Genomic DNA, 23,094 nt, shown 5'->3' with positions numbered 1-23,094 from the left:
GCATTTAGCATACGTGAAGAATGTTCACTTTTCTGAATCTGCCCTTCTGAAAATCATCTAATTCTTTGATTTGTTCTGGATCCCTCTACATCTTTAGCTTATTGAAAGTGTTTCCTTGCCCACTCTACTGCTGTCTCAGAACATGAGGCCTATTTTATCAGTTGAGCAATTCCAAAAGGCTATCAGATTTATGTCCAGCCCTTTATAATTTAGTAATTAGGCATGACAAGATATGGATAAAGCACTGACTTTGGAATTAGATCTAGATCTTCCTCCACTTTATGGCAGTATGTATAGGGAAAATCACTTAAACTCTCTGTGATCTGGTTTCCTTGTCTATAAAATGAGGATCCCACTACTACTGACTTCACAGGAATATAGTGAATTAAAAATGAGGTAATGTTAGTGAAAATACTTGATGAACTGTGGAAGAACTAAAGAAATATTGTTATTCCTTAAACCTGATATGACACTTAATGATCAGTTATTTTAATTTGCACAGAAAAACTGGAGCACCAAAATTCAATGGGGACAAATTGCACATGTCCAAATTTTAGTCTTATGTTACTGAAAGAAAAACTAGAAATGTATTGTGAGCCAAGACAACTGCATTGCAGGAAACTAGCTCAAATGTTTTGCTAATTCCCGGGGTATATTTGCTGTGGTTTCAAATGTTTATTACCTAGCCTAGAATTCAACCTTGACATGCAGAGTAGAAATGTCATACTCAAGTCTAGATGTATAAATTTAACTCACTTCTATAATATAGGTAAAATAAAAAGAACATGGAATGCTTTTGTGCCAGATATTATTATAAATCAAATATTTATCTTCAAAAATAGAAAATAAATAAAAGACTAATATGTCTATTATTCATAGAATTATAACAAAGCATTCTTGTTTAAATTAAAAATATATCTATGCTGTATGTGAATATTAAAAGGAACTATTATAATTACACTTTTTTCAGGTTGATTTAAAATTGTTAACTAAAAGAGATCTGTCAATCTCTTTTATAAAAGTCTTAAAATCTTAGAAATGTTAGAAGTTTGACATCATCAGAGTTGACAAAATGCCCTATCTGATTCCTACAAAAAAAATTCAACATTATTTGCATTTTTGAAGTGGCTCTAAAAGAATTTGTTTTTGTTTTTACTTTGAAAGTTATAGAAAATAAATGTGGCCAAGTATTAGCAACAAATGAATGTAGATGAAGGCTATATTCTGTTAAATTTTTCAAAATAAAAAGTTAGGGAAACCTAGAAATAACAGTTCTAATGAGCCATAAAATTTTCAATGCATATTAAAAAATTAAAAAGTTAATATATAAATAAATAAAAATGACTTGGCAAAATATAAATTAAATTTACTTTGAAATATGTGGATTCACAATTCACCTAAAATAATATTTGGAAAGATGCATTTTACATTTTATTAAACTACATTGTGTATTCCTTTTAAAAATATTTAATATGCTTCAACTTCTGCAGTCATTCCTTCTACAGATATTTATTGGGCACCTCCACCATGGCTAGATGCTATGTGAGATACAAAGATCTATAAGACACGGCCTGTGCCCTCAAGGAATTTACAAGCTAGAAGTAGTATCATATTCTTCAAAAAGCTTTGACAGTGTAAACAGAAACTATATGCTTATAAAAGAAAGCAAGCAAATCTACTCCAGAAGTCCATTTTGCAACATTACTACCCCATTGTGCACTTGAGTTCTTTCTCTAAAGCAGAGGCAATCCCTTAGCATAGCCCTTTCATCTTCGTTGTCTTTTTCTGCTTCCTCCTCTTTCTTTCTCCTTTTTCCTCCTCTTTTTTTGTTGTTCACATTACATTAAAAATATTTTTTCTCTTTCTTTCTTTTTCTTTCTTTCTCTCTCTCTTTCTTTCTACCTCCCTTCCTTCCTTCCTTCTTTCTTTCGTCCTTTCTTTCTTTCTTTCCCTTCTTTCTTTATTTCCTTTCTTTCTTTCCTTTCTTTCTTTTCTGAGACAAGGTCCCACTCCATCACCCAGGCTGAAGTGCGGTGGCTTGATCTTGACCTCTCAGGCTCAAGCGATCCTCCTGATTCAGCACCACCCCACCCCTCCCCCCACCCAGTAGCGGGATTACAGGTCTGTGCCCACCACACCTGGCTAATTTTTGTATTTTTAGTAGAGAGGGCTTTTGCCATGTTGGCCAGGCTGGTCTTGAACTCCTGGACTCAAGCGATCCGCCAACCTCAGCCTCCCAAAGTGCTGGGATTATAGGCGTGAGCCACCATGCCTGGCTACATCATTACATTTTTAATTCATATATTTAAAATGTTTGCAAAGAGTGCTTGATCCTTAACCTTATTTATGCATTTAAATGGTAGAAAGGATACAAGCAACAACTATAATTGTCCTAGGAATATTAGAAAAATTTTAAAATAAAGCAATAAAAGCAATATTAGCTTCACATGATTGATGCGTTTTTCACTAAATAGTGTTTTATAACTTTAGGTAAATTATTCCAATAATACCTTATAATATATTTTTAAATTTCTTAATAGAGAACTTCCTGTGTGAAAAGAACAATTCCTTTTTGTTCCTCATCCTTTGCTATCCTGTGTCTCTGCTTTCACTCTGTTGTATGGGGATACTGTCCTTTAAAACCCTGGAAATATGGAGTAAGATGTGTGACTTTTGCATATTGACAACAATTACAACACAATATTATTTCTTTCTTCTGCCTGCCTCTTTTCACTGATCTGGGGCCTATTTGATTGCAACGGAAACAAATTGATTTAATACCTGCTCTACGGTGTTTGCATTTAGCTATAGAATGATGCTCAATTTATTTCAGCAAAACATGGGGGTCTGTGAACAACAGGAACAAGAGGGGTGGGGAGGGGTTTAGTCTGATTACATGAGCTTCAAAACTGAGGGATTTTTTTAAGGGAGGAAGGGGGAAGGATAGAAATAAGAACAAGTTCTATAGAAAGAACTTGCTCTTTCCTCCAAGGAGGAAAAACGTGAACATTTCTCTGTATTTTATCCTGTGGTTGAAGATCACAGAATGTTGAAACTGAAAGGAACTTTAGACATCTTTCTCTCTCTCATCAAATCTCCAGTACCCCCTCTTCCATTTTTACTCTCACCTGATGACATTGTTTGTTATTTTCTTGAGACAATGGAAGTAAACAGAAGAGATTGTCAACAAGTTCCTAGTGCCTTATGTACACACCTACCTGCAGCTTCTGTACCACTATACTTGGCCTTCTCTCCAGTTGTTCTGAAAGAGCCATCCACACTTTTGGCTGAGGACAATGTCTCCTCATGTGCAATAGATTCTATTCTCCTTGCCTACTCAGAGACATGGCCCTAACAATTCTCCCCTCTTCCTTCTATATCGTCAAATTTTCTCTCTCTATCATTCTCATTAGCATACAATCGTGTTGTTGTTTCTCCCATCTTAAAAAATACACTCTTTCCCCTACCCTACTTCTGCTTTTAGATACTGCGCCACTTCTCCACTTCCTTCTCCAGCAAAATTCTTAAAAGAGTTGCCTGTAGTCAAGGACTCAAATTCTTCTCCTCTTATTCTGTTTTGTACCTGATTCACTGAGGCTTTTGTCCCTCCCCAGCCCCACCACCAAAACTGCTCTTATCAAGGTCACAAGTTAATTCTATTAGTGGGATTTTTGAATCATCATGTTGCTTGACTTATCAGCAGCATTTGACAGGCTTGACCACTTTTTTCTACCTTAATTTACTTCCTCCACTTGGCTTCCAGGACACTATTTGTAATAGTGTCTCCTATATCATTCCTACCATTGGTAATTTGTGTCTTCTTTTTTTGTTTTTAATCCCTGATCAATCTATTGTAGGAGAGGGAAAAATAGTTTATCTCCACCCTTTTAGGTTCTTTGGATGGGCTACAAATTAAATTGATGTGAGACAGATCAATAGGAGAAAAGGTATACAAATACATTATGTACATGGAGGCATCACATGAAAGAAATGTGAATACCCCCAAAAACAGTGAGATCTAGAAATATATACAGTCACACATTGCTTAAATACAGATTTGAGAAATGCATTGTTAGGCGATTTAATTTAAATGCAGTGGTGCGATCTCAGCTCACTGCAACTTCTGCCTTGTGGGTTCAAGAAATTCTCCTGATACAACCTCCTGAGTAGCTGGGATTACAGGCAGCTGCCACCACGCCCAGCTAATTTTTGTATTTTTAGTGGAGATGGGGTTTTGCCATATTGGCCAGACTGGTCTGGAACTCCCTTCCTCAGGTGATCTGCCTGCCTTGGCCTCCCAAAGTGCTGGGATTACAGGTGTGAGCCACTGCTCCCAGCCTCAGGTATTTCTTCATAGAAGTGTGAGAGCAGACTAATACAGGGTCAAAGATGAAATTACAAAGGAAATGGGAAAGTACTTTCAGATGAATGAGAAAACAACATACGCAAATTTATAGGATGTAGTTATAATCATAACACATATATTTACTTTTTTTTTTTGAGATGGAGTTTCACTCTTGTTGCCCAGGTTGGAGTGCAATAGCACCATCTCAGCTCACTGCAACCTCCGCCTCCCAGGCTCAAGCAATTCTCCTGCCTCAGCCTCCCGAGTAGCTGGAATTACAGGCATGCGCCACCACGCCCAGCTAATTTTTTGTATTTTTAGTAGAGACAGGGTTTCACTATGTTGGCCAGGCTGGTTTCGAACTCCGGACCTCGGGCAATCCACCTGCCTCGACCTCCCAAAGTGCTGGGATTACAGGAGTGAGCCACCGTGCCCAGCCACATATATTTACAAAAAGAATCTAAAATCAATAACCTAATAATGATCAACGTAACAATAAAAAAGTCTTAAATCCGTAACCTAAACTTTAAGAAACTAGAAATAAGAGCAAACTAAACCCAAGGCAAGCATAAGGAAGGCAATAATAAAGAAGAGAGTAGAAATATATGAAATAAAGAATAGAAAAACAATAGAGAAAATCAATGAAACAAAAATTTGGTTCTTTGAAAAGACCAACAAAACTGACAAACCTTTAGCAGTATTGACCAAGAAAAAAAGAGAAAAGACTCAAATTCCTAACATCAGGAATTAAATAGGATATATTACTACTAGCCTTATGAAATAAAAAATAATTATAAGGGAATAGTATGAACAATTGTATGCCAACACATCAGATAACCTACCATATGACCCAGTAATTCTACTCTTAGGTACATACCTAAGAGAATTGAAACAGATGTGGAAATAACCCAGAAGTCCATCCAACTAATGAATGAACAAATAAAATGTAGTATCTACATACAATGGAATATTATTTGCCCAATAAAGCAAATGAAGTGCTGATACATGCTACATCGGTGAACCTTGGAAACATTATGCTAGATGAAAAAATCCTGACACAAAAGGCCATGTATTATTTTATTTACGTAAATTGTCAAAAAAAAGGATAATCCATAAATACAGAAAGCAGATTAGAGGTTGCAAGGGGCTGGAAGTAGGAGACAATGGGGAGGGACTGCTAATAGGTATGGTGTTTCTTCGAGGGGACTATTAAAATGTTCTGCTATTAAATAGAGAGGATAATTGCACAGTTCTGTAAGTATAGTAAAAACCACTGAACTGTATTTCAAAATAGTGAATTTTATGTTATAGCAGTTATATCTTGAAAAATTTGTACATAAAACCATATAAAGCCAAACTGCCTGGATTTGAATTCCAGCTACTGACACTGTCATCTTACCTAGGTTATAAGGAAGTAACTGTGATAGGTTCAGTAGTTGATGTCAATTCTTTATTACACCAATAATATTATTATACATCCACTCCGTTGCCATTGCATTATGGTGAGCAGCTTATACTTTTTCACCTCTTGACGTTGGACCTGGTCATGTGACTTGCTTTATCCAATGGGATGTTAGAGGATATTATATCAGTAGATGTTTGGAATATACTTGGGCAGTTGAGCTTTCCCTCTTACAGTTTTGCCATTGCATGAGAAGAACACACCACTGATAGCTGTTGGCCCTTCATCCTGGGCCCTAAAATGAGACACCTGGAGCAGAGCTTCTTTATTATCTTCCAACTTGAAAGCAATAAATAGTGTTTATTACTGCATGCCACTAAAATCTGGTAGTTGGTTGTTATGTTGCCAAAGATGACAAACACAGGAACAAATAATAAAGGATTTTAGTGGTTTACACCACAAAAAATTTAATTATCAGTCATGTACTATCTGGGTCAACTAAAATTCTTCTTCATCTGTCTTCACTCTAGGATCCAACGTGAAGGAACAGCTCCTCTCACGAACACTGTTGGTCTCCTGGATGGAGAAGGAATGTGGTGAACCCTGAGCTGACTCTCAGGGCCTTTGTTCAGAACATTTTACTTCTGCTCATATGTCATAGGACAAAGCAAATTACATGGCTGAGCTGGATGCAAATGGGGAGGGGAAGAGGACTCTTCCCACAGGGAGGGGCATAAGTCACACAGCCAAGGCTGATGTCAACAGGGCAGGGATGTATAATCCTCCCACAGGGAGGAGTAGCTAATATTTTTAACAATATTATAATCCACCACAGTGACCTCGAGCATGTCACTTGACCTCTTTGTGCCTTGGTTTTCTCATTGTTAAAATGGAAATAATAATAGAACTTACCTCATAGGGTTGATATGAGGATTCAAACGACTTAATTCTAGTAGAGCATTTAAAATCCTGCCTAGTACATAATAAATGCTAGATAAGTGGTTGTTAAATAAAAATAAATAAAATGTTTGTCCATACAATTGTTTCCTCTTGCTATGGTGAAAATCGTGTATCCCATGCTTTATTATTACATGCCTAGAAATGAAGATACTTTGCCTACAGGCATTTAAAAACAAGACATTTCTATTTTTAAAAGCCTGTGGCTTTAAAATTAAGGTTTCCAAAGTTGTGTCATTGCTTAAACTTCTTGAAAGATGTCCCTATCATGGCTTGCAGTCTGATTAGTTCTTTCTGGAAAAGAGAAGAGATTCTGTTTGGTAGGAATAGGACAGCAGGTGGTGGTAGCATAAAACAGAAGAAAAGCTGCACTGTTGAAAAAGGATGGAAACCAAAAGGTCCAAAAACCTGCTCTCAGCTGTGATAGAAACAGCATCGCAGAAACCCAGTTATATGAACTGCTGTCTGAGTGGCCACCATATTTGGCGGGGGAAAAAAGGATTTCTATTCACATTATGCTTTTCTTTTTTTCCCTGCTATACTCTGAGTGCCCAGTTGTGTACTTTGACTGAAATACTTCTCACTCGGTATGCCTGTTAATCCCCTCTAGCAACATTGAACACCCACTTGGGATTCGCTAAAAGCACTGAAAGTTGTTTTGCTCAGTCATCTTGCTTCCTGAATTTAAAAAGGTAACAATTGATCCACACCTGAAAACAAATCAGAAAAAAAAAAAAAAATGTAGCTATAGACAAAAAACCTAGCCTGCTGCACACCTCTTCCAATCCCTACCAAAAGAACAACTACTTGTGTGAAGACTGGGAGAGAAAAGATCTGATTTTTTTTTCTTATAAACCCTGCCTTGCACAAAAGAGAACTTAATAAATGCATATGATATTAAACTTCTCATTAAATATCTTACATCTTTTATATGTATATCCTGGGATCTCTAAGGTGCTTTCCAGTCCTGGAGATTCTATACTGGATATAAATATTACATAAAGCCTCACTGCCCGAGTGAGGGCTCTCTAATTTCTCGCTGTCTCTAACCATTTATGCTGTACCGTCTTAAATTAGAATAAAGTCACCCATTTCACAGGTGGCTTAGCCAAAAAAGCTCATCTTATTTCCAGAAGTCTGTAAACTTGATTATAAACCACAGACCTCTTCAGCCCTGAGAGTTGATAGCAAGGCTACAGTAACTACCATGGCTTACATTCATCAATCATTTTTACCATGAACCAGGCACATGAATTATTTCATTTAACCTTCCCAATGAGTAAGAATTAATCATCGCTATTTCACATATGAAGAAATGCAGTAACCAAGAAGTAATATAAATTGCTCAAAGTTAGTATAAAGTGGTGATTGAGCACTTGGATTCTGAAATTAGACAGCTGGATTGTGGAGATTCATTTAATCATTTTTTAAAATACGATGAATTATTGCTAACTATAGTCACCCTATTGTGCTACAAAATACTAGATCTTATTCATTCCACATTGTTGCAAGCCCTTCCACCTCTGGCTGAGTTCCAGGAGATTTAAAGAGCTAGCACCTATAAAAACTTTTTTTTTGTAATAAAAAAATCATTATGACCTAGGGCTAGGTGAAGAGTTTTTAGACTTAACACTAAAAGTATGATCCCTAACTGAAAAGTTTGATATTTTTGACCTCATAAAAATAAAACACTTTTGCTACATTAAATATTCTATTAAGAACAAAAAAAGACAAGCTACATAGTGGGAGAAAATCTTTGCAAACCTGATAGTGGAAAAGGACTGGTACCTAGACTGCATAAAAAACTTATAAAGCCCAACAATGAGAAAACAACCCAATTAAAAAATAGGCAAAATATCTGAACGGATACCTGACTAAAGAAGACATGCTGATGGCAAATAAAGTGCATGAAAAGGCATTCAACATCATTAGCCATTAGGGAAATTCAAATTAAAACCACAATGAGATATCAATACACGCAAATCAAGAGGGCTAAAATAAAAACTTGTGGCAACAACAAATGCTGATGAGGATGCTGAGAAACTAGATCACTCATACATTATGTGTGGGAATGTAAAATCGTACAACTACTCTGGATAATCACTTGGCAGTTCCTTTTAAAATTTAAGTGGGCTTACCATATGACTCAGATATTGTACTTGCCAGTGAAAACTTGTTATCGTACAAATTTGTACACAGAAGTTCATAGATGCTGTATTTATAATAGCTCCAAACTGGAGATAACTATGACCTTAGATGGCTATATGGTTAAAGAAGCTGTGGTACATCCATCACATGGAATTACTGAACTATTAAAAGGAATGAACTATTGATTCAAGCAGCAACTTGAATGTATCTCCAGGGAATTATGCTGAGTGCAAAAAAGGTAATCTCAAAAGGGCACATACTATATGATTCAATTCATAAAACATTCTTGAAATAATAAAATTATAGACATGGGGAATGGATTAGTGGTTGCCAGGTGCTAGGGATGGTGGGAGAAATGATATGGGTGTGGTTATGAAGTAGTAGCAGGAGGGAGGCCTTTGTGGTAATGGAATAGCTCTGTGCCTTAATTGTGGTCATGCTTCTATGAATCTACACATCGTAAATGAAATATATATATACATCATTCAGTGTCAGCTTCTGGTTTTGATATTGTACTATAATTACATAAGATACAAAACATTGGGAGAAACTGGATGAAGGGAATACAGGCTCTTCCTGTACATTTTTTATAACTTCCTGTGAATCTACAATTACTTCAAAATAGAATGTTTTTAAAAAGTTTGTTAAATAAAATGTTGGAAGCGAAGCTGAAATTTGAATGTCAGTTTGTCTGAGTCTAAAGTTAAGCTGTATAATAATAGTGAGCATCTATTAAGTGATTAGGCTAGGTACTATTAAGTACCTTGCCAGACATCACACAGTTACAAAGTGACAGTGCAGGACTAGAAACCAAACCTGATTCCAAACATGTACTTTTAATCACCGGTGTGATTCTCTTTGAATTGCATGGGAGAGAGAGGATCATGGCAATGGTTGGAGGGGAAAGAATGGGAACATGAGAGAAACAAAAGGAAACAAAAGAAGGACAAAGTGGTGAATATAACTTACTATAGTCAAGGAAATAAAAATTGCATCCACAATAAGACATCATAACACAACCACCAGGTTGACAAAAACTAAAAAGTCTGATAATACCAACCATTGTCAAGCTGTGGAGTACTGAGAACTCTCACTATACCCTGAGGGTGGGAATGTAAATTGATATAGCCACTTTGGAAAATAGGCATTGGCTAGTTCAATTGAACATGTGCATACCCTACACATAGCAATTCCACTCCTAGGTATGAGAAACATGTGCACAAGGAGACATTTTAATAAAGCTTTGTTTATAATAGCAAAATACTATGACCAATATAATTGTCCAGCAGTAGTAGAATGGGTAGCTAAAATGTGGCATAGGAAATAAGAAGATAGAGGACTTGAACAACACTATAAACCAATAAGAACTAATGGAATTATATAGAACTATCTACTGAACAGCAGAATACATTCTTCTCAAGTGCACATGGAAAACTAGACCATATATTATGCCACAAAACAAGTCTCAACAAATTTTGAAAGATTGAAATAATTCAAAGTATATTTTCCAGCCACAATGGAAGGAGGCTGTAAATCAAAGACAGAAGGAAAAACTAGAACTTCACAAATATGTCGTGATTAAACAACCCACTCTCTAAAAAATGGTCGAAGAAGAAATTGCAAAAGAAATTATGGTGGCTCATGCCTGTAATCCCAGCCCTTTAAGAGGCCCAGGTGGGTAGTTCACTTGAGCACAGGAGTTGGAGATCAGCCTGGGCAACATGGCAAAACCCCCTCTCCACATAAAATACAAAAATTAGCAGGTCATGGTGGCACACACCTGTAGTCCCCAGTACTAGGGAGGCTGAATTGGAAGCATCACTTGAGACCAAGGAGGTCAAGGCTGCCCTGAACTGTGATTTTGCCACTGCACTCCAGCCTAGGTGACAGAGCAACACCCTGTCAAAAAAAAAAAAAAAAAAAAAGAAAGAAGAAGAAAGAAATTACCTAGAAACAAATAAATATGAAAACACAGCATACTAAAACTTATGGGAAAGTGAAAGCAGTGCTCAGAGGGAAATTTATGGCACAAACACCTACATTAAAAAAGAAGAAAGGTCTCAAATCAATAATCTAACTTTACATCTTGAACAACTAAAAACAGTAAACTATACCCAAAACTGGTAGAAGGATGGGAACAATAAAGATCAGACTAGAGATAATAAAATAGGGAAGAGAAAAGCAATAGAGAGAATCAAGGAAACCAGAAGTTGGCTTTATGAAAAGATCAACACAATTGACAAACTTGTTTTTTTTTTTTGAGACGGAGTCTCTCTTTATTGCCCAGGCTGGAGTGCAGTGGTGTGATCTCAGCTCACTGCAAGCTCTGCCTCCTGGGTTCACACCATTCTCCTGCCTCAGCCTCCTGAGTAGCTGGGACTACAGGCGCCCGCCACCACGCCCAGCCAATTTTTTGTATTAGTAGAGATGGGGTTTCACCGTGTTAGCCGGGATGGTCTCAATCTCCTGACCTCGTGATCCATCTGCCTCAGTCTCCCAAAGTGCTGGGATTACAGGCGTGAGCCACTGTGTCCAGCCCACAATTGACAAACTTTTGACTACATTGACAAAGACAAAAGGACAGAATGCACAAATAATTAAAATCAGAAATGAAAGTGGAAACATTCCTGCCAACCTTACAGAAACACAAGGGATTATAAGAGAATAATATAAATATTTGTATCCCCCAAAATTAGATAAACTAAATAAAACGGAAAATTTTCTAGAAACACACAAATTATCTGAACTGACACAAGAAGATACAGAAAATCTCAACAGACTATAACACATAAAGAGATCGAAACAGCATTCAAAAACCTGCCAACCATAAAAAGCCCAGGACCAGATGGCTTCACTGGTAAATTCTTCCAAACATTTTAAAAATTATTAACTCCAAGCCTTATTAAATTCTTTCAAAAAATAGAAGAGGAGAGAACACTTCCTAACTAATCCTATGAGGCCAACATTACCTTGACACCAAAGCCAGATAAATATCCCAACAACAACAACAAAATTACAGACAAATATCCCTTATGAATAGAGATACAAAAATCCTCAACGTAATATAGCAAAATGAACCTAACAGCACATTAAAAATATTATACAACACAACCATGTGGGATTTATCCCAACAATGCAAGTGTGGTTCAACATGATAAAATCAATCAATGTAACACATCACACTAATGGAATGGAAAAAAAAAACCCATAGGATTAACTTAATTCAAGCAGAACAGGCATTTGACAAAATCCCATACCCTTTCATGATAAGAACACTCAGAAAACTGCATAAAAGGGAGCTTTCTCATCAAGATGAATGGCATTTATAAAAAAACAAACAAAAAAGCCCACAGCTAACATCATACTCGATAGTGAAGGATTGAAAACTTTCCCCCTAAAATTAGGAATATAACAAGGATGCCCACTTTCACCACTGCTATTCCTCATTATACTGAAAGTTCTAGCCCCAGTAATTAGACAATGAAGATAAATAATAAAATATATTGAAACTGGAAAGAAAGAAGTAAATGTATCTTTATTTGCAGATGAAATGATACAAAATCTAGAAAATTCCAAACAATTCATAGGAAAGCTACTAGAGCTGATGAAAAAATTCAGCAAAGTTGCATGGTATGACATCAACACACAAATCAGTTGTGTTTTTGTACACCTGCAATGAACAATCTGAAAAGGAAGTTAAGAAAGCAATTTAATTTACAATAGTATGTAAAAAAATAAAATACGTATGAATAAATTTAAATAAGGAGATAAAATACTTGTATACAGAAAACCACAAAACATTGCTAAAGGAAATTTTAGAAGCTCTACATAAATGGAAAGACATCCAATGTTCATGGGTAGGAAAACTTAATATTGTTAAGATGTCAGTACAACTCAAACTAGCCTATAGATTGAACATAATCCTTGTCAAATATTCGAACACCTTCTTTTTTTTAACACCTTTAAAGCAATGGAGAAGCTGAGCTTCAAATTTATATATAACTGCAAGGGATCCCAAGTAGCCAAAACAATCTTGAAAAAGAAAGAAGTTGGAGGTCTCACACTTCCTGATTTCAAAACTTACTTCAAAGCTAAAGAATTTTTTTTTTTAAGTATGATGCTGGTGTAAGGATAGGCTAATATGGCAGAATTGAGAGTCCAGAAATAACCCCTTACCTCTATGGCCAATTGATTTTCCACACGGATTCCAAGTTCATTCCATGGGGAAAGAGCAACCTCTTCAACAAATAGTTCTAGGACAACTGGATATCCACAAGTACAAGAAAGAATTTTGATTCCTAACTCACATCATATACAAAATTAACTCAAAATGATAATGATTGACTCAAAAGATGAGGGCTAAACCATAAACTCAGAAAAAACTTGAGGCAGATATTCAGAACCTTGGATTTGGCAATGGATTCTCTGATATGACACTATGATTTCTGTTAAGGTGGATGGTGACTACGTGGATGTTTGATTTATATTATATTTGCACCCTTGTCACCAGAAGCATTGGTATCACTTGGGAGTTTGTTAGAAATGCAGAATGACAGGCTTTACCCCAGACTTGCATTTCAGTAGATCCCTGGGTGATTCCTGTGTGTTTTAAAGTTTGAGAAGCACTGGTGTGAACCATGCATGGGCTTTATGTACTTTTTCTAAAGGTGAAATATGTCTCATCGTTTTCAAAATAGTGTATTTCAGATTCCATTGGGCTATTGACCCAACAGTTGTCTAGCTCTGCTGTAACTAGAGTCATATACATATAATACTGATAATGCTAATAATTAACATCTATGTGCCAAACACACATATTGCTTTCTTGAATCTTAAAGCAGCCTCAAAGTAGGCTCCATTATTGCCTTCATTTTACAAATAAGTAACCTGAGATGCAGAGAGATCAGGCTGCCTGTCTGGGATCTGAGGAACTTCTCTTAATCTCCAAAACCGGCATTCTGAAGCTCTAGTGAATCGTTGGGTTGATGGCACAGGAGGAGGGGCTGTGAGAGGCTGCCCTGGACACCAAGGGTGAGGGCCACCAGAGCCGCGGTGGCGCCCCAGTAAACGGCCCCAGTGGCCGCCCTTGGACCTGCCACTGCCAGACCAGTTCTCCAGGCCGCGCTGCCAGTGTCCCTCCCTCTTTATGGTAGGTCCAGCCTGCTGCCCTCATTTGACTGCAAGGGATGTAGGGGCGGGTGTCTCAGTTATGGCCAGCTTGGCTTACCAGTGAGTTCCCCTACATCCTACCCCGCTTGGTTTGGAAGGACGCACACCTGTGAAAGTGACAAGGCGCCTTGGACTCGCCTGAGCCTGTCACCCGAAGTCACGGGCCCTCCACAGCACATGCCCACCTGGCCGGGCGGGTTGCGCCCTGGTCAAACTGGAGCGATTTGAAGGGGTAAACAAGGACTCGCAAAGGAACTCAACAGCGGTTGGTGAAAGGCGCAGGCCGAGGCTGGGCAGCTGGGCACGGGCCAAGAACCGGTGGGGGCTCCTTGCCCCACAGAAGAACTGATTCCTCCATCATCCAGAGTCAACTACCCCCATGCCTACCTTCATTTCTGGAACTTCCTGGGCTCAGCCACTACTTAATTAACAGAGATTTTTGTGCATCTTCTCTCCACCACACACACACACACACACACACACACACACACACACACACACTAAATAGATCTAAAATGCTGCATTTTTCTGATGTTTCTCGCCCTCCCCCCCATTCTTTCTTGTACAAACTCTGTCAAGGTGAATCACAATATAATAAAATGCATTTGGCATTTAAAGACGTTTCGAAAATTATCTTGGGTTTCCAATTAGTGCCCTTGGTTAACTGAAATATGTAGCATTATTTTCAAAGTGTAAAATTATTTCCAGTGAGATGGCAAGAAGACATGGTTCTTTTGTTTTGTTTCGTTTTGTTTGAGACGGAGTCTTGCTCTGTCGCCCAGGCTGGAGTGCAGTGGCGCGATCTCGGCTCACTGCAACCTTCACCTCCCGGGTTCAAGGGATTCTCCTGCTGCAGCCTCCCGAGTAGCTGGAACTACTGGCGCGTGCCACCATGCACAGCTACTTTTTGTATTTTTAGTAGAGACGGGGTTTCACCATGTTGGCCAGGATGGACTCGATCTCTTGACCTCGTGATCTGCCCACCTCGGCCTCCCAAAGTGCTGGGATTATAGGGGTGAGCCACCGTGCCCGGCCGGGAAGTGTTATTATTTTTCTAGTGATACATTATTTATTACACTTACAATGAAAGATGCATGATATTAACATTTAAAGTAGAAATAAAATGTCCTTTCTTCAAGATTTATAAATCCAGCTGTCTGTTTTCCATATTTGTGTATACCTATTAGTTTTAATTACACTAATAATTTCCCTGGGTTCTTAAATTTACATTAGCTTTTAAAGTATAGAGGAAACATTCCTCATATAATTTAATCATTTGTGCAAATGGCAGACAAGGAAGTTATTGGTTTGTATTGTAATTATTGTAGTTCATATTTTGAGCTCATTTGTACAATTGCTAAATTAATAATTATCATTTACGTAAGCAGATTAGGTCATCTGCACTCATTTGCAATTATAATTCAGAAATGATTAGATGTTCTTCAACTTTCCCAATTTCTTTAATGCCCTTATTAAAATCGTACATTAAAGAATTATCCAATTATGTCTATTATCATAAGTAAATTTGGCGTAGTACATATAATTACTCCCATGCTATTGCATGTAAATTTTCAATTAATCTATCTCTTTTCCAAAGTGTATGGTAAAACAAATTGATTGTCATAATGTTGTTTGCAGCATTTGCTTAAAAGCCATGCGTGTTGAGATTCACAAAGCCAAACCATTATGAGTAGTATAAAATAGTATATGAAATTATCCTATAAAACAGGTATCACACCAGGACTAACTTGAATGTTCCTGGATCTTTACCGTTTGAGGGAAGAGAACTTTTGACTTACTGCAAAGATTATTCAATACCATAGTATGCCAGGGAATATTTAAAATAGAATCAGTGCACAGTTGAAAAGATACTGACTTTTTTCAAATTATAAACATATTTATTGCACACCATTTGGGAAATACAGAAATGCATGAAGAAGGAAAAAATATTTTATATATAATGTCCCCAAACAGAGATAAGCTATAACATTTTGGTTTTTATCTTTGAAGTCTCTTACATGGATTTTTATGTATGTATCTATATGTGTGTGTAATATGCAGTAATAAAATTAGGGCTGTATTGTACATACTGTTCAAATTTTTGGTTTCTATGACTCCAATGAAAAGAACAATGTTGTCTTCCATTTTGCATTTGCCATGGAACTGACCTTCCTTTCTTTTAGAGACAGGGTCTGGCTCTGTCACCCACGCTGGAGTGCAGTGGCAAAATCACACCTCACTGCAGTCTCGAATTCCTGGGCTCAAGCAATCTTCCCACCTCAGCCTCCCAAGTGGCTAGGACTATAGACACGAGACACCGCGCCTGGCTAATTTTTATATTTTTGTAGAGATGGAGTCTTGCTATGTTGCCCAGGCTGATCTCAAACCCCTGGCCTCAAGTACTCCTCCCACCTTAGCTTCTCAAAGCACTGAAGTTACAGGTGTGGGCCACTGCACCCATCCCAGTGACTTATTTTTGTGTTTGTTATAAAAAATTCTGTAACTTGAAGAACGAAGTTATTTATAAGCAAAGGTATTTGAATCCTAACTCTCACACTTACTTGCTGGGTGACCTTAGACAAGATACTTAATCACTCTGTGCTTCAGTCTCCTCAGTAGTAAAATGGGGATAATGATAGTGTACTTACTTCAGAGAGTTGTTGTGAGGATCAAATGGATTAATTTATTATAAAGTTCATACAACAGTGCCTGACACATAGTAAGTTCTATGTAAGTATTTTTTTTCTTTTTTTTTTTTTGAAATGTAGTCTCGCTCTGTTGCCCAGGCTGGAGTGCAGTGGCCTAATTTCGGCTCACTGGGACCTCCACATCCCGAGTTCAAGCGATTCTCCCACTTCAGCCTCCTGAGTAGCTGGGATTACAAGCATGTGCCACCAAGCCTGGCTAATTTTTGTATTTTTAGTGGATGAGGTTTTGCCCTATTGGCCAGGCTGGTCTCAAACTCCTGACCTCAAGTGATCTGACTACCTCGGCCTCCCAAAGTGTTGGGATTACAGGCGTGAGCCACCACACTCAGCAATAAGTATTTTCTGTATTAATTATTTTACTAGCTTTATTAGCAGGTGTTATTTACTAGCTGATATTATTATTGTGTGAGAGTTGATCATTTTAGGTGGTACATGATGAACATTATGTCTACTCTGTATATACCACATGGGGACCAGTCCTGAGTATGGAGAATGGGTGGTGGAAAGGAGAGACAAATAGGAAACCAATTTAAAGGCAGTATAGAAAGATTAGGGATTAAAGGACACTTTTTTAGATTGAGAGGTATTAAGAATGGGCTTTTCCAGGGTGTTGGAACTACTCTTGTTTAATACCTTTATGAATGCTCTAAAAGTAAGAATACATATTTAATTTTCTGTTTTTACAAATAACACTACATTCTTCCAGTAATGGAAAGTCAAATTAATGCACATAAACCAGAGGGAGATCTTACTAGTTAGTGTACAAAAGCTAGAAAATATAAATGTTTTAAATAAACTTTATTGAGATATAATTAACATATAATAGACTTCACCCATTTTTAAAGAATACCGTTTGGTGAATTTTGATAACTATATTCACCCATGTAATACCATCAAAATCACCTTCACTCCAACCCCACTTCAAGACTCTGAGAACAATTGAATTTTCTGTCATTTACTTTTAGTTTTCATTTCTGGAATTTCATATACATGGAGTCATACATTATGTACTCTTTTGTGTATGGATTTCTTTCATTCAACATAATGTCTTTAAGATTCATCCATGTCGTAGCATGCATTCAGAGTTTATTCCTTTTCATTGGTGAATGACATGCCATTGTACTGAATATACCACAATTTCTTTTACCACCCACCTTTTGATGAACATATGAGGTATATTTCCAGTTTTGAGCAATATGTAAGTGGTTTGCTGAAGCTGGCTCATACCAGCATACAGGAGCTGATTGTGCACATCTCTTTTCAACTCCACCGTTCAGTGATGTCAAATTAGTAGCTTTAAATCAACCATAGTGGCAGTATTTACACCAAAGAAACTGGCAAATCAGGGCATTTTTAATGGGGGAGCCAGTTTACCAGTACTCCACTGGCTATTGTTAAAAAAGATGCTATGAAAATTTGTATAGGAGTTTTTGTGTGGACATAAGTTTTTATTTCTCTTGGGTAAATACCTAGAAGTAGGGTTTATATATCATACGTTAAGCAAATGTTTAATTTTAAAAGAAATTACCTAGAGGGGCAGAGTAAGATGGCCAAATAGAAGGCTCTACTTATTATCCTCCTGCAATCACACCAGTTTAACAACTATCTACACACAAAAATATCACCTTCATAAGAACCAAAAATCAGGTGAGCACTCGTAGTACTTGGTTTTAGTTTCATTTCACTGAAAGAGGCATTAAAGCGGGTAGGAAAGACAGTCTTGAATTGCAGATGCCACCCCACCCCTATCCCCCAGAAGTAGCCACATGGTACAGAGAAAGAATCTGTGCACTTGAGAGAGGGAGAGCACTGCAATTGTAAGACATTACATCGAACACACTGCTGCTCTGCCATAGCAGAAAGCAAAACCCAGCTGAACTCAGCTGACACCTGCCCCCAGAGGGAGAATTTAAACCAGCCCTATCCGGAGGGGAATCACCCATGCCAGCAGTTGGAACTTGAGTTCCTGCAAGCATCACTACCATGGGCTAAAGTGCTCTGGGACTCTAAATAAACTTGAAAGGCAGTCTAGGTCACAAGGACTGCAACTCCTCTAGTGCGGAACTGGGCTCAGAGACAGTGGACTGGGTGGGCACATGACCTACTGGGACATCAGCCAGGGCGGCTAAGGGAGTGCTTGCACCACCCCTCCCCAACCTCAGGCTGCACAGCCCACAACTCCAAAAAAGACCCCTTCCTTCCACTTGAGGAGAAGAGAGGGAAGGCTAAAGAGGACTTCGTCTTGCATCTTGAATACCGGCTTAGCCACAGCAGGATAGGGTACAGTTCAGCTGGGAGGCCCCCTTTTCAGGCCCTAGCTCCCGGAGGACATTTCTAGGCACACCCTGGGCCAGAAGGGAACCTGCTACCTTGAAAGGAAGAACCCAGTCCTGGCAGGACCCATTACCTGCTGACTAAATAGCCCTTGGGCCCTGAATAACCAGCAGCAATACCAAGGTAGAATGCTGTGGGCTTCAGGTGAGACTCAGTACTTTCCCAGCTGTGCTGGCTATGGAGAGAGACTCCTTTACTTGAGAAAAATGGAGGGAAAAGTAAAGAAGGCTTTGTCTTGCACCTTAGGTACCAGCTTAGTCACAGAGGAGTAGAATACCAAGCAGCTCCTGGGGTCTCTGATTCCAGGTCTTGACTATTGGACAGCATTTCTACACATACCCTGGGCCAGAGGGGTACCCACTGCCCTGAAAGGTGAGTATCAGGCCAGGCAGGAATCACCACAAGCTAACCTGAGAGCCCTTGAGCATTTTTGTTTTTGTTTTTGTTTTTGTTTTTGTTTTTTGAGACAGAGTCTCACTCTGTCGTCCAGGCTGGAGTGAAGTGGCACCATCTTGGCTCACTGCAACCTCCACCTCCCGGGTTCAAGCAGTTCTCCTGCCTCAGGCTACTGAGTAGCTGGGACTACAGGCACCTGTCACTACGCCCGGCTAATTTTTTTGTATTTTTAGTAGAGATGGGGTTTCACTGTGTTAGCCTGGGTGGTCTCGATCTCCTGACCGCATGATCTGCCCGCCTCAGCCTCCCAAAGTGCTAGGATTACAGGCATGAGCCACTGCACCCAGCCTAGAGCCCTTGAGCTTTAAGGGAACATTGGTGGTAGCCTGGCAGCACTCCCCATGGGCCTGTGGTGATGGTGGCCATGGGATAAGGCTCTTCTGTCTGTGGAAAGGAGAGGGAAGAGGAGGAAAGACTGCATCTTGTGGTTTCAGTGCCAGGTCAGCTGCAGTACAATAGAACACCAGGTAGACTTCTAAGGTTTGACTCTAGTTCCTGGATTCTGGACGGCACCTCTGGACACACCTGGGGCATGGGGGAACTTGCTACCCCGAAGGGAAGAACACAAGCCTGGCTGGCTTCACCACATGCTGCTTGTAGAGCCTTGAGTGAACATAGGCAGTAATCAGGGATTGGTTAACGTGGGCCTTGGGTGAGACCCAGTGCTGTGCTGGCTTCAGGTCTGACCCAGCATAGTCCCAGTGCTGGTGGCCACAGGGGTGCTTGTGTCACCTTGCCCCCAGCTCCAGGTGGCTCAGAACAGAGAGAGAAAAGGGAAGAAAACAAAAGTCTCTGCCAGGTAATCTAGAAAATTTTGGATCTTATCCAAGACCATCAAGGTGATAATTCTATGACTCTGCAAGAACTATAGCATTACTACACTTGGGGTGCCCCCAATAGATACAGCTTGGATCACAACACACAAGTCCTTTAGAATACCTGGAAAGCCTTCCCAAGAAGAACAGGAACAAACAAGCTCAAGCTGCAAAAACTATAATAAATGCCTAACTCATCAATGCCCAGAAATAGACTAACATCCACAAGGCCACCCAGGAAAACATGACCTCACCAAATAAACTAAATAAAGCACCAGATACCAATCCCGGAGAAACAGGGATATGTGACCTTTCAGACAGGGAATTTGAAATAGCTGTTATGAGGAAACTCAAATAAATTCAAGATAATACAGAGAAGGAATTCAGAATACTATCAAATGAATTTAACAAAGAGATCGAAATAATTTTTAAAAATCAAGCAGAAATTCTGGACCTGAAAAATGCAATTGACATACTGAAGAATGCATCAGAGTCTTTTAATAACAGAATTGATCAAGCAGAAGAAAGTATTAGTGAGCTTGAAGACAGGCTATTTGAAAATGCAGTCAGAGGAGACAAAAGAAAAAAGAATGAAAAACAATGGAGCACACCTACAGGATCTAGAAAATAGCTTCAAAAGGGCAAATCACTGGCCTTAAAGAGGAGGTAGATAACGAGATAGGGGTAGAAAGTTTATTCAAAGGGATAATAACAAAGAACTTCCAAAACCTAGAAAAAAATCAATATCAAAGTACAAAAGGGTTATAGAAGAGCAAGCAGACTAAACCCAAAAAAGACTAACTGAAGGCATTTAATAATCAAACTCCCAAAGGTAAAGGATACAGAAAGAATCCTAAAAGAAGCAAGAGAAAATAAGCAAATAACATACAATGGAGCTCCAATACATGTGGCAGCAGACTTTTCAGTGGAAATCTTACAGGCAAGGAGAGAATGGCATGACATATTAAAGTGCTGAAGGAAAAAAAATACTCTAAAATAGTATTTCCAGTGAAAATATCCTTCAAACATAAGGGAGAAAAAAAGACTTTCCCAGATAAACAAGCGCTGAGGGATTTCATTAATACCAGTCCTGTCCTACAAGAAATGCTAAAGGGAGTATTCAATCAGAAAGAAAAGGACATTAATGAGCAATAAGAAAACATCTGAAGGTACAAAACTCACTAGTAATAGTAAGTACACAGGGAAACACAGAATATGATAACACTGTAAGTGTGGTGTGTAAACTACTCTTATCCTAAGTAGAAAGATGAAACAATGAACCCATCAAAAACAGTAACTACAGCAAATTTTCAGAACATAGACAGTACGGTAAGATATAAATAGAAACAAAAAAAATTTAAAATGAGGGGATGAAGTTAAGGTGTAGACTTTTCATTAGTTTTCTTTTAGCTTGATTGTTTGTTTATTCAAACAGTGTTGCTATCAGCTTAAAATAATGGATTATAAGATATTTGCAAGCCTCATAGTAACCTCAAATCAAAAAACGTACAACAGATACACAAAAAGTAAAAAGCAAGAAATTAAATCATACCACCAGAGAAAATCACCTTCACTAAAAGGAAGACAGGAAAGAAGGAACGGAAGGAAAAAAAAAACAACAGAAAACAAATAACAAAATGGCAGGAGTAAGTCCTTACTTGTCAATAATGATATTGAATGTAAATTAAATAAACTCTTCAATCAAAAGAAGCAGAGTGACTGAATGGATAAAAAAGAGAGACCCAATGACCTGTTGCCTATAGGTGTTACCTGTCTTTATAGGTGTTTCACTTTTCCTGATACACATAGACTGAAAATAAAGGGATGGAAGAAGATATTCCATGCCAGTAGAAACCAAGAAAGAGCAGGAAGGAATAGCTACAATTATATCAGACAAAATAGATTTCAAGACAAAAACTATAAGAAGAGACAAAGAAGGTCACTTCTTTGTCTATATAGACACCCAAAACTGGAGCACCCAGATATATACAGCAAATATCAGAGATAAAGAGAGATGAACTCCAAGACAATAATAGCTGGAGACTTCAACACCCCACTTTTAGCATTGGACAGATCTTCCAGATAGAAAATCAACAAAGTAACATTGGATTTAATTTGTATTGTAAAACAAATGAACCTAATACATATTTACAGAATGTTTCATCCACCGGCTGCAGAATATACATTCTTTTCCTCAGCACATGGATCATTCACAAGGATAGACCATATGTTAGGTCGCAAAACAAGTCTTAAAACATTAAAAAAGTTAAAATAATACTTAAAATAATATTGTGTCTTCTCTGAACACAATGAAAGAAAACTAGAAATCAATAACCAGAAGAATGTTGGAAACTATACAAATACAAGGAAATTAAACAATGTGCTGCTGAATGACCAGTGGGTCAATGAAGAAATTAAGGGAATTGAAAAATTTCCTGAAACAAATGATAATGGAAACACAACATAACAAAACTTATGGAATATAGCAAAAGCAGTACTAAGAGGGAAGTTTATAGCTATAACTGCCCACAGCAAACAAGAAGACAAACTTCAAATAAACCACCTAATGATGCATCTTAAAGAAGTGGAAAAGCAAGAGCAAACCAAACCCAAAATTGGTAGAAGCAAACAAACAATAAAAATCAGAGTAGAAATAAATGAACTTGAGGAAAACAATACAAAAGATCAATGAAACAAAAGCTTGTTTCTTTGAAAAGATACATACAATTGACAAACCTCTAGCCAGACTAAGAATAAAAG

The 23,094-nt window shown here is 38.1% G+C and overlaps 1 annotated feature.

The window, feature by feature from the left end:
- Positions 14,251 to 14,751: an enhancer, noted in NCBI's record as "H3K4me1 hESC enhancer chrX:136487294-136487794 (GRCh37/hg19 assembly coordinates)". NCBI's record gives its function as "activates a minimal SCP1, AML or CMV promoter by ChIP-STARR-seq in naive H9 embryonic stem cells {active_cell/tissue: H9 hESC(naive)}" and the evidence as "EXISTENCE:reporter gene assay evidence [ECO:0000049][PMID:30033119]".

Source organism: Homo sapiens, chromosome X (genome assembly GCF_000001405.40).
Source record: "Homo sapiens chromosome X, GRCh38.p14 Primary Assembly".
NCBI lineage: Eukaryota > Metazoa > Chordata > Mammalia > Primates > Hominidae > Homo > Homo sapiens.
The sequence above is the reverse complement of the archived record's forward strand: the minus strand, read 5'-3'. Positions and strand labels throughout refer to the sequence as shown.